The sequence below is a fragment of the Homo sapiens genome, chromosome 9 (genome assembly GCF_000001405.40).
Source record: "Homo sapiens chromosome 9, GRCh38.p14 Primary Assembly".
NCBI lineage: Eukaryota > Metazoa > Chordata > Mammalia > Primates > Hominidae > Homo > Homo sapiens.
This window is the reverse complement of record NC_000009.12, coordinates 105,048,621-105,061,059: the sequence shown is the minus strand read 5'-3', so window position 1 is coordinate 105,061,059 and position 12,439 is coordinate 105,048,621. Positions and strand designations below refer to the sequence as shown.

Here is a 12,439-nt window from a genome sequence, read left to right as displayed (position 1 = left end):
CAAACTGCTCTGAGTGAGACAAGAAGAGAAAGATGCGAGGCATAGGAGAAGCTGGGGTGATAGTGTAAAGGACCCTGTGGAATGAAGGGCCAGTGGAGACTCCTCTGGGGTGGGTTAGCCAGAAGACATTTTGAATAGATAGGCCGCATGTTTAGTGTCAAGCTCGTTTGTTTTAAGTGAGGCAAACCACTCTGACCTCCTCTCCCCTAGATCTCTCAATCTTCAGTAAAGCCTGAAATATTCACGAATCATTATAGGAGTGGGTTTATGTGTTTGTGCCTGTGGAGAGGGGAAGTTTGTGGAAGTGTTATAAGAACAACAGGTTCGTACGCCCACTGTGCAGTAACAGACCAATTACACTGAGACAGCAGGGTTTGCAGCACAGAAAGAGCTCAATGATTGCAGAGCTCTGAGGGAAGGATGGGAGGAGACCCTCAAATCTACATCCCCAAGGAATTCTGGGCTGGGGTTTTTGAGGGTCATGGAGGGTAAGCAGGTTAAAAATAGACTGGGCATGGTGGCTTACGCCTGTAATCTCAGCACTTTGGGAGGCCAAGGTGGGCAGATCACTTGAGGTCAGGAGTTCAAGACCAGCCTGGCCAACATGGTGAAACCCTGTCTCCACTAAAAATACAAAAACTAGCTAAGTGTGGTGGCACACACCTGTAATCCCAGCTGCTCCAGAGGCTGAGGCAGGAGAAACCTCTGAACCCAGGAGGCAGAGGTTGCAGTAAGCTGAGACTGCGCCACTGCACTCCAGCCCGGGAAAGAGAGTGAGACTCCATCTCAAAAAAAAAAAGAAAAAAAGAAAAAAAGAAATTGGGGTAATCGATTGGTCAGGGCAAGGGGGATGAATTCATTACGATGTAAAAACTGCACTCTTTAGTCTGGCGTGGTGGCTCACACCTGTAATCCCAGCACTTTGGGAGGCTGAGGCAGATGGATCACTTGAGGTCAGGAGTTCAAGACCAGCCTGGCCAACATGGTGAAACCTTGTCTCTACCAAAAATATAAAAAATTAACTGGGCATGGTGCTGCATGTCTGTAATCCCAGCTACTCAGGAGGCTGAGGCAGGAGAATTGCTTGAATCCGGGAGGCAGAGGTTGCAGTGAGCCGAGATCATGCCACTGCACTCCAGCCTGGGCAACAGAGCGAAACTCCATCCCAAAAAGAAAAAAAAAAAAAAAAGAAAGAAAGAAAGAAAAAGAAACTGCATTCTTTGATAAATCAGCTTCCCATGAGATCCTTCAGATCAGCTGATACTAGTAGTTCCACTGGTATCCAGGACCTGAAAGGGTATCTCAAAGGGAAAATTTAATGTTTCATAATGTTGAACTTGTTTTAGTTGTTATACTCCTTTCCTTGCGGAAAGAAGTAAGTATAACATCTTTCCTTGTTATAGTTGCTATACTTATTTCTTTCCTCATATTTTAATTTTACATTTAAGTACTTATGTAGTTAATGTAGCTTAGTTATTTAAAGCAAGACACTGAAAATTTCTTGCTCTGTAGACAGAGCAGTTAAGGGAAATTATAATCTTAGGAACTGCTTGGATTTACTTGATTCACACACAATAGGCCACAAACAACAATGTGGAAGTGGGCCAGAGAGCAAGCTACCTAATGATTAATGTTGAATGTGCTGCAAGCTTGGTTTATTTTTATTTCCCCATCTCTCCCTTCTTACGTTATTAATTTTATAAAGTTTATAAGGACAGTTTAGTCCCCCCTGGGCTTGATCATACCTCAGTCCTGAGGTGAGAACTAATATGGTGGGAATTAGCTGAAGATCACTCTAGCTTCTTCCTGCTAGCAAGGGGCACAGACCATAGTCAGGATTAGAGGAATGAAATTGCCTGGCAGTAACCTGTAAGTATTCATGAGTGCCTGGTTGGGGATTTTGGGGGTGAAGCATGAACATATTAGTGCTCCTGTCCACTGTCTTAGCATGGGGCACATTTAATTGCTAACCAGACTGGCCAGGCATGGTGGCTTATGCCTGTAATCTCAGCACTTTGAGAGGCTGAGGCAGGTGGATTGCCTGAGGCCAGGAGTTTGAAAACAGCCTGGCCAACATCGCAAAATCCTGTCTATACTCAAATAACAAATAAATAAAAACTAGCCAGGCATGGTTATGGGCGCCTGTAATCCCAGCTACTTGGGAGGCTGAGGCTGGAGAATCGCTTGAACCTGGAAGGTGGAGGCTGCAGTGAGCTGAGATCATGCCATTGCACTGTAGCCTGGGCAAAAAGAGCGAAACTCCGTTTCAAAATGAAATAAATAATTGCTAACCAGACTATAAAATAAATTATAAGTGCTATTGTCAAAATTGTGAGTCCAAATTTCAAAAAAGTCCTTGTAAAATAGACTGAAAACATTGGGGGTATCCATGAGATCTTATTGTCACAAAGAGTCTGTTCTGTCAGTTTTATGATCTTCATTTTAACATTAATGTTGGTCAGTTGTGTCTAGACCACAAAAAGGAGGCGTATAATGGGGAATGTCTGACCTCTCATCCTGTCACGGTCAGGATCTCAGTTTTAAGGGTTTTGTGTATGTGGGGGTCCCCTTGGCCACAAGGGGCTCCATTCAGTCAGGGAGTGGGGCTTAGGATTTTGTGTTTTAGTTTATATTACCTCCTTTTGGGTCGAAATTTGCCAGAGACAGTATCTATGGCTACAGTTTTATTTTGTTTTATATCATTGCTGGGGCTACCTGCCCCAGGTCCATCCAGTCCATTGGTGGGACCCCTATGGCCGAGGGACTGAGAGCCAAAGGCTTATAGCCAATTAAACATTCTAGGCCAGATGGGCATGGAAGTGGGAAGGCACTAATTAATCCTTAAAAACCTTTTGAACTGGCCAGGTGCAGTGGCTCATGCCTGTAATCCCAGCACTTTGGGAGGCCGAGGGGGACGGATCACCTGAGAGCAGGAGTTTGAGACCAGTCTGACCAACAAGGAGAAACCCTGTCTCTACTTAAAATACAAAATTAGCAGGGTGTGGTGGCACATGCCTATAATCCCAGCTACTTGGGAGGCTGAGGCAGGAGAATCGCTTGAACCCAGGAGGTGGAGGTTTTGGTGAGCCGAGATGGTGCCATTGCACTCTAGCTTGAGCAACAAGAGTGAAACTCCGTCTCCAAAAAACCAAAACCAAACCAAAACAAAACAAAAAACCTTTTGAGCAATATAAGAACGAAAAACCAAAAGCCAAAAAGTAAGGTTACAGAACGGACTTATCTATAAGTTGCATATGTTGAGCCATTAGCTCTTTAGGCATCTGTGTGCCCATCCTTGATTTGGAGGGTCTGAACTAATTTTATCCCTCAAAACCAGCCCTTATAATCTCACATGCCCACCTTTTCTGTGATAGTCCCTGGGCCTAAAGGGATTGAACAGTTTTAATTTCCGGCCCTGTGTCTCAGAAAGGATTCATTTTGACTGTCAACTTCTCCTGGGTCTGAAGACAAGTCTTTGGTTAACTTAAGTTTGGTATCAGATACTGGTGTCCACGTTCAAGATTTAGTAGGTGTCCAGTGCCTTTTTCAGATGAGATATGTGTACCCAGGAGTCAAAACCCTATAACTCAGCACAAAGATTAGGTAACAGCACCTGATAAGACTCTTTCAAGGGGGCCAAAGAAAGGCCTTTAACCGATGTCTTTTCCAGTATATGTGATTATTAGGCTGAAGGTGGTGACACTGGAGTGCCTTTAGTTTGACTGAAAGCTGTAAAAAGATTCTACAACCTTGTGGGGTTTATTTGTTTATTTATTGAGACAGAGTCTCTCTCCATCACCCAGGCTGGAGTGCAGTGGCACGATCTTGGCTCACTGCAACCTCTGCCTCCCGGGTTCAAGCTATTCTCCTGCCTCAGCATCCTGAGTAGCCGGGATTACAGGTGCATGCCAGCACACCCGGCTAATTTTTGTATTTTTAGTAGAGATGGGGTTTCACCATATCGGCCAGGCTGGTCTCTTGGCCAGGCTCGTCTCAAACTCCTGACCTCGTGATCTGCCCGCCTCGACCTCCCAGAAGTGCTGGGATTACAGGCATGAGTCACTGTGCCCGGCTAGGGATTAGTTTTATAGCTTTGATAAGCCCCAGCAATAAGACTTCATTTAGAATTGGATTTTGAGAACATTTATCAAATATATTAAATGGCTTTAAATGTTTGGTCAAAACAGAATCACAGGTCATTGTAAAATAATGGTTATTCACTTAACCAAAGACTTTGAAGGCAATATAGAAAGTTACATGGATGCTGGCTGGGCACGGTGGCTCACACCTGTAATCCCAGCACTTTGGGAGGCCGAGGTGGGCGGATCACCTAGGTCAGGAGTTTGAGATCACCCTGGCCAACATGGAGAAACCCCGTCGCTACTAAAAATACAAAAATTAGCCAGGCATGGTGGCACGTGCCTGTAATCCCAGCTACAGGAGAGGCTGAGGCAGGAGAATCACTTGAACCTGGGAGGCTGAGGTTGCAATGAGCCGAGACTGCACCATTGCACTACAGCCTGGGCAACAGAGCAAGACTGCGTCTCAAAAAGAAAAGAAAAGAAAAGAAAAGAAAGTTACATGAATGTAAAACTTTTCTTCTTAAGCTCAGTTTTCCGAAGTTGTCAAAACCCTAATAAAGACAACAAAGGAATTATCTTAATAAAATGTAAAATCTTTGTTTCTTAGGCCAGTCACCAACAGGCAAAGAAAAACCTTCTGCAGTGTCATTGCTCCTCCTTATGGGGGCCCATTTAGATAACCCGAAAGTCAATCCTGATGAAGAGGGCGTTAGAATTGTTTAGACATAGAAAGAGTGTGTTCAGGGTCATGAGTGAACATTATATTATGCACTTATCATATAATATCTCCATGACTCTTAGTAACAGCATGATAAGTTTCCTGGTTACATGGAACAATTCAGACATATCAAGGACAGCCAAGAGTAGAGAATCAAGTTACACTGGAGGAAGACATTGCTTTTCTAGACTTTCAAGATAAACATTTTAGCATCAGGTTACAACAGCAATTAGAACCAGAGAAAAAAAGTTTTTGGAGCTCACAAAGAAGTTGAAGGAGAGAGTTATCATCTCATGCCTTCTCAAAGGGAGAAAAAGCTGAAAGCGGTGAGCCTCAGCAGAAGTTGAAATCGTGAGATAGAAATCTGAGAAGTTTTCAAAAAGAAACAGGTTATAGAATTAAAAATTAAAACCTTCGAAATTTTATTAAGAGCAAAGCAATGCCTTAAGAAAAACTTGTTTTAATATAGGATATCAAACTATCTATCTATCTATATATATATATATATATATATATATATATATATATATATATATATATTTAGTGAGACGGAGTCTTGCTATGTCGCACAGGCTGGAGTGCAGTGGCATGATCTCGGCTCACTGCAACCTCCACCTTCTGGGTTCAAGCAATTCTCGTGCCTCAGCCTCCCAAGGAGCTGGACCTACAGGCACATGCCACGACAACCAGCTAATATTTTTGTATTTTTAGTAGAGACAGGGTTCACCGTGTTGGCCAGGTTCATTTCGAACTGCTGGCCTTGAGTGATCCATCTGTCTTAGCCTCCCAAAGTGCTAGGATTACAGGCGTCAGCCACTGTGCCTGGCCAGGGGACCAAAATTATAAAGGCTATTATAAATAATTTTCTTTTCATTATACCCAGCTTAATCTTGTAGAAAATTCTTTTTTTTTTTTTTGAGACAGAGTCTCACTCTGTCACCTAGGCTGGAGTGCCGTGGCACGATCTTGGCTCACTGCAATCTCCGCCTCCTTGGTTCAAGTGATTCTCGTGCCTCAGCCTCCCCAGTAGCTGGGATTACAGATGTGGGCCACCACGCCTGGCTAATTTTTTGTATTTTTAGTAGAGACAGGGTTTCACCATGTTGGCCAGGCTGGTCTCGAACTCCCGACTTCAGGTGATCCCCCCTTTTTTTCAGTTTTAAATGAGTTTTCAATGTTTACATTTTAGGTAGCACTGGCTGAATTGTATAAGAAAAACAAAATCTCCAAGTAGTTTTGAATTAGTAATACCATAAACAGTGAGTCTCATCTCAATACCAGTAGCTTAATAACAACAGATTCAAAGCAGTCAGAAAAGAAAAGATAGCTTTAAAAGACTCTATATTTAATGTACATTTTAACTAACTCCATTTAACTCAGTTGTGAGCTCTGAATTTTCCTTGCTGTTATTTGCTCATCAGTTTAAAAATGTGCACAAGAATGAGTCATAATATGTAACCAGCTGGAGTTCTAGAAAACCTGGCATGCCTTTGACCTTTCCCATAGTTTTTCACAGGACTCCTGCCTTTAATGGGAAAGTTACCCATTGCACTGACCTGATGAGGATGTATCTTGTCTTCCCAACTCGGCAGGATGCAGCCCAATGGACTGCTTGGAATTAACATGTTGAAATCAATGTTTCCCATTCCAGCCAAGGCAATGTACAATCAACAAAACACAGACACTAGTCACATCACTCAGTGCCTAAGTTTGACCCGGCAAGATTCAAACTTGCGTCTGTTGGCCTCCAGAGCCCTTGCTCTACTCAAAATCGGGAGAAATGAGTAGATCTTGCTGTGGTGGTCTCTGGGCAAAATGGGGAAGTGGATGGTCACCTGAGTTAGGTCACCTGCTAGAAATTCCTTCTGAAATCCTTTTCATAAACATAACATACATAACTAGACAAAGACAAACAAAAGGCCCTCCAAAACCAAGTTCCAACTTTCAGAAATCAAGAGTATCTCTCCCAAGCAGTGCCCTTTATTCTCCTTCCAATTTAGGGTAAATCCCCTCAAAGAAGGCCCTTCCTGTTGCCAGGGAGGGTCAACGAAACCTCAGAAAGGTCAAAAGACCTCTGAGGAGGCCAGCAAACTAGGAAAGGGGGAAGAGGTGCTGGCTGCACAGAGAAAACTTACCAAAGATGTCTTTCAAAACCAGAAACTATTTCTTTGCTGCAAGCTATTTATGCACTGAAGGTCACCACTGTCCCATTGACAAGCAAGGCACTGGAGACAGCCCCCAGTTCAATGGAACCAAGCAACTGCTTGGACTTGTCTCCAGGTCTGTCCCAAGGACAAAGGGGCACTGAGCCATGGGCAGATGCTCACAAGGGGCTCTAGGTTAGGCTCACCAAAATCATTTATGGGACCAACAGATTCATATGCCCACTGTGCAGTAACAGACCAATTATACTGAGACAGCAGGGTTTGCAGCACAGAAAGAGTTCAATGATTGCAGGGATCTGAGTGAGGAGATGGGAGGAGGCCCTCAAATCCATACCCCCAAGGAGTTCTGGGCTGGGATTTTTTTTTTGTTTTGAGACAGAGTCTCACTCTGTAACCGAAGCTGGAGTGCGGTGGCGCAATCTAGGCTCACTGCAGCCTCTGCCTCCCAGGTTCAAGTGATTCTCCTGCCTTAGCCTCTGGAGTAGCTGGGATTACAGGTGCCTGCTATGACTCCTGGCTAATTTTCAAATTTTTAGTAGACACAGCATTTCACCATGTTGGCCAAGCTGGTCTTGAACTCCTGACCTCAAATGATCTGCTCGCCTCGGTCTCTCAAAGTACTGGGATTACAGGCGTGAGCCACTGAGCCCAGCCTGGGCTGGGATTTTTAGGGGGATTGTGGTGAGCAAGGGACTTAAAAATTGGGGTAATTGATTGGTCAGGGCAAGGGTGATGAAATCATCACAATGTGGAAATCACCTTCTTTGGTGAGTCAGCTGCTCGTGGTGTTCCTCTGCTCAGCTGAGTCAGTGGGGTCCTTCAGAGCAACTGATATCAGTAGTTCCACTGTTATACAGGACCTGAAAGAATATCTCAAAGGGAAAACTTAATGTTTCATTATGTTCAAGTTGTTATCTACAGAGCAGTTAACAGAACTATCATCTTGTAACAGAGTCTTACTTGATTCTAGGACAGTAGGCAACAAACAATTATTAAATATGGTGAAGCAGGTCGGAGAGCAAGCTACCTAATGATTAATGCTGAACATGCAGCAAGCTTGGTTTATTTTAGTTTCTCCTTCTCCCTTCTTCTCTGATTAATTTTATAATATTCAGAAGGGTTCCTGTACACCTAGGTCAACTTGAAGACCGCAGGTGTGTGGAAGTAAGACATAGATCCAGGATCAACGTGGAGACCTCAGGTGTGTGGAAGTAAGACATAGATCGGAAAGTGACCCTTGGAATGTTGTGAGCTCCTGGAAAGCCATGGAGTCTCAGCAGGGGCCTTTGAACTGCCACAGGGCATCGACTGGGGATTTTGACCCAACCTAACTAGAGGAGCATCAGTCTTTTCCTGACGTATAAATTATGTCAGAAATTAAAGCAAACCTCCAAGGGGTACTGTAGAAGTGAGAATAAGACACATTTTTTGTATTTTAATAATTTAGCTGCTAGGGCGGGGATTGGTGTATGTGTGTGGTCAGGAGGGGAAGCTAGATGCTCTTCCCTGAGATACTCATGGCTCCTTCCTCATGTTCATCATTCACGTCTCTGTGCAAACGTTCCCCTCTTTAGCCCGGCCTTCCGTGACCAGCCGAGCTATGACAACAACCCTCATCACTCTTCTTTAGTTCCTTCTAGCCTAGGAAATTCTTTTCCTATTTCAGTGGATGTAAAATTATTTTGAGGTCAATGAATTTAGGGACAGTCTCAATCTTGAATTCCAGCCCTGTTTTCATTCACTCATTCGAAAAGTCTTTACTATTGACCTACTATGCACCAGGCTAGGCACTCAGGATATATCTATGAACAAAACCAGCAATCATCACTGCTTCCGTGGATCCCGTATATCCAGTGTGGATCCAGTGTAGATCCAGTGTGGGTCCTGTGCATTAAGGCAGCATTAAGACAAAAACAATCTTAATTCTAATCATCCTAGCCCCACCCATCTGCAAAGGAAGCTCTTACTCTCAGAACTCAAAGCACTCTCTAGGGCTTCTTACGTAGGTTGCTTCCTGGTAACGGGTGCATATCCAGCTGCTGATACAATGAAGTATTAAAAATATTGTTGGCCGCGCATGGTGGCTCAAGCCTGTAATCCTAGCACTGTGGGAGGCCAAGGTTGGCGTATCACCTGAGGTCGGGAGTTTGAGACCAGCCTGACCAACATGGAGAAACCCCATCTCTACTAAAAATACAAAAAATTAGCTGGGTGTGGTGGCACATGCCTGTAATCCCAGCTACTCAGGAGTCAGGCAGGAGAATCGCTTGAACCCAGGAGGTGGAGGTTGTGGTGAGCTGAGATCGCGCCACTGCATTCCAGCCTGGGCAACAAGAGTGAAACTCTGTCTCAAAAAAAAAAAAAAAAATTATTGTCGACACAACCATTTCCCTAAAATGTTAAGGTAATGGATTTTGTGTTTGCATAAAAGGAATAGTTTGAGATGTCAAATTTCAAAAGCCTCTATCTTAACACCAGAATAGTCAATGAAAGGAGGCCAGATCAAATCCAAGTTGTTTCCCATTTGGTTATCACTCCAACCTTCAGCCTTCCGCCAGACAGCAAGAGTTCAGTGAGCACTGAAATTAGACCCGTGCCCCTAAGACACTCGCTATCTAGAGAGGGAACATCCATGGAATCAAGCCAGAAGTACACAGCAAGATGGGTTACTGGAGACCTAGATGCAAAATGCTGTAAGTACACGGGAAGAAGGAACCTCAAACTCTCTTTAGAGGAATTTTGTAAGCTTCCAAGAGGAGATGACTCTCAAGCTGGCCGTCAATGAGGGAAGGATTTCACCAGGTAGAGATGGGGCAGGCACTCTTAGCAAAAGGAACAGAAGAAAAACCATGTAAACAAAAAATGTCATCATGGATTCTGTGAAGTTCACTGTGACTAGGGTGTGTGCTCTCTACACAAGGGTGTATAAAGGATGTGGCAGGAGATGAAGCTGGAAAGGTGAGCACCGTCAGGTAATAAAAGACTTTGCATCTTATCCTGTGAGCAATGGGACAGAATTGGGACAGCAATGGGACCCATCAAACCCCTAAGAAGCGGAGTGACACAATCAGGCTTGTGCTTCACAAACATCATTCATAGAACAACCCGAGGAATCAAATTAGAGGTGGGAAGCCAGTTAGGTGACTGTTTCAGCAGTCCAGGTGAGAACAGTTAAGGACCTAAACCAGGGCAGAGGGGATGGAAAGAGGGATCAAACACTAGAGAGGGTTCAAGAGTAAATTGGTAGGACTTATGTGGAAGGGAAGAGAAGAAAAGACCAGGTGGCAATGAAGTTTCTTGCTTGGGTAACTTGTTAAATGGTGGAGCTCCCAAATGACACCTCCCTCTCTGTTACTTCTTCCTCACAACATCAGGATGATGATCAAATTAATTTTATTCTTTAAAAGACTAGACATCTTTCATTTAAATACTTCACCAAGTTTGGAGAATTCTCTACCTTTCAGGCCCACGCCAACCCAAAGGAAAGGCCAGAAACCTGCCTTCCCAGCTTCCTTTGCAGCTGGGATGAACACACAGGAATCCAATTCCATTAGTCAGACATACTAGAATTGTTTTGGATGCTAGAGACATGAAGAAGAGGTGCCATGAAATCCACCCTGGCGATGGTGTTCACAGATGCATGCGGTTCCTGGAGATGTCAGAGGTGTTAGAGATGATCTCCAGACCCCATAACCATGAGGTGAGCTGGCTGTCTTTGCCCAGCCATGCAACAATTATGAGGCATGGGGCAACTGGGACCCCTGGGGCAACTCTGTGGTGTGATTTGGAAGGTATGACTAGCTTAGATGATTGATCACCGGGAGAAGAGGCTGCCAGGTTGGTAATAGACAGGGTCTGCCACATAGGCTGATAGCAGCTGTGAAGAGAACATAGGAGTTCTCTGGTCTGGGCTGATTTATTTATTTTCTCAAGAAACAATTATTTTCTTTTCTTTGAGACAGAGTTTTGCTTTTGTTGCCCAGGCTGGAGTGCAATGGTGCGGTCTCGGCTCACTGAAACCTCTGTCTCCCAGGTTCAAGCAATTTGCCTGCCTCAGCCTCCCAAGTAGCTGGGATTACAGGCATCTCCCACCATGTCCTGCTAATTTTTTTTTTTTTTTTTTTTTTTTTTTTTTTTTTTTGAGACAGTCTAGCTCCCTCACCCAGGCTGGAGTGCAGTGGCATGATCCTGGCTCACTGCAACCTCTGCCTCCCAGGTTCAAGCGATTCTCCTGCCTCAGCCTCCCAAGTAGCTGGGATTACAGGTGCCCGTCACCATGCCCAGCTAATTTTTGTATTTTTAGTAGAGATGGGGTTTCACTGTGTTGGCCATGGTGTTCTCGAACTCTTGACCTCGTGGTGTGCCCGCCTTGATCTCCTGAAGTGCTGGGATTACAAGCGTGAGCCACCGTGCCAAGCCCTAATTTTTGTATTTTTAGTAGAGACAGGGCTTTACCATGTTAGCCAGGCTGGTCTCAAATGCCTGACCTCAGGTGATCTGCCCGCCTTGGCCTCCCAAAGTGCTGGGATTACAGGCATGAGCCACCATGCCTGGCCCAATTTTTAAATTACAGCTGAGTGCTGTATGATGTTTGGACCTGGCCTTTGTTTTCTGTGTATTTCTGGCAAGCCACTTAACTTCTCTGGGCCTTGACCTCCTTATCTCCAAAATGAGATCGCCAAAATGGATAATTCTAAGGTCTTTCCTCATATTCCACTCATTTTTCTCCTCTCTCTTTTGTAACACTTTTATGTTTAGAGCTCCAATTTTTTGTTGTCAAAGACCTTGTGGATATGGCTAGTGTTGCCAATGGGCTTAGCTATGTCCCCTTACCACCTACTCATGGCTTATGAGTGGTGAGTGAGTGGACAGCAGAAGCCATGGGATAAGCATGCTGTGTCTTCCAGGGCCATCAGTTTTACTGAAAGATTTGGGAGAGCCGGGCGTGGTGGCTCACACCTGTAATCCCAGCACTTTGGGAGGCCTAGGTGGGCGGCTCATGAGGTCAAGAGATCGAAGCCATCCTGGCCAACGTGGTGAAACCCCATCTCTACTAAAAATATAAAAATTAGCCAGACATGGTGGCACATGCCTGTAGTCCCAGCTACTCAGGAGGCTGAGGCAGGAGAATCGCTTGAAACTGGGAGTTGGAGGTTGCAGTGAGCCGAGATCACCCCCCTGCATTCCAGCCTGGGCAATAGAGTGAGACTACGTCTCAAAACAAAAACAAAACAAAAAAAGATTTGGGAGAAAAGCATTGGAAAATTTTGTTTTCTATTACATAATGCGGGCATATAATGGGATACAGTGTAAAATTCTCAGGCTTGATAATAGCTACATTCCTTTGGGGGATGTGTGTTTGTTCTTTGTGACTGGAAATCCTTTGATAGAAAATTGTGTGTAGCAATGATAATTAATATTTTCTGAATTTGACAAGTGATTTAGGTCAATTCAATATCACTTGGGCTTTCTAG

At 44.4% G+C, this 12,439-nt stretch overlaps 2 annotated features.

Moving 5' to 3' along the window:
* Positions 7,292-8,491: an enhancer, noted in NCBI's record as "BRD4-independent group 4 enhancer chr9:107814850-107816049 (GRCh37/hg19 assembly coordinates)". NCBI's record gives its function as "activates an origin of replication core promoter dependent on BRD2, P300/CBP, MED14 and CDK7 cofactors, and independent of BRD4, by STARR-seq in HCT116 cells {active_cell/tissue: HCT116}" and the evidence as "EXISTENCE:reporter gene assay evidence [ECO:0000049][PMID:35650434]".
* Positions 7,566-7,825: an enhancer, noted in NCBI's record as "active region_28736". NCBI's record gives its function as "activates an Ori minimal core promoter by ATAC-STARR-seq in GM12878 lymphoblastoid cells {active_cell/tissue: GM12878}" and the evidence as "EXISTENCE:reporter gene assay evidence [ECO:0000049][PMID:35858748]".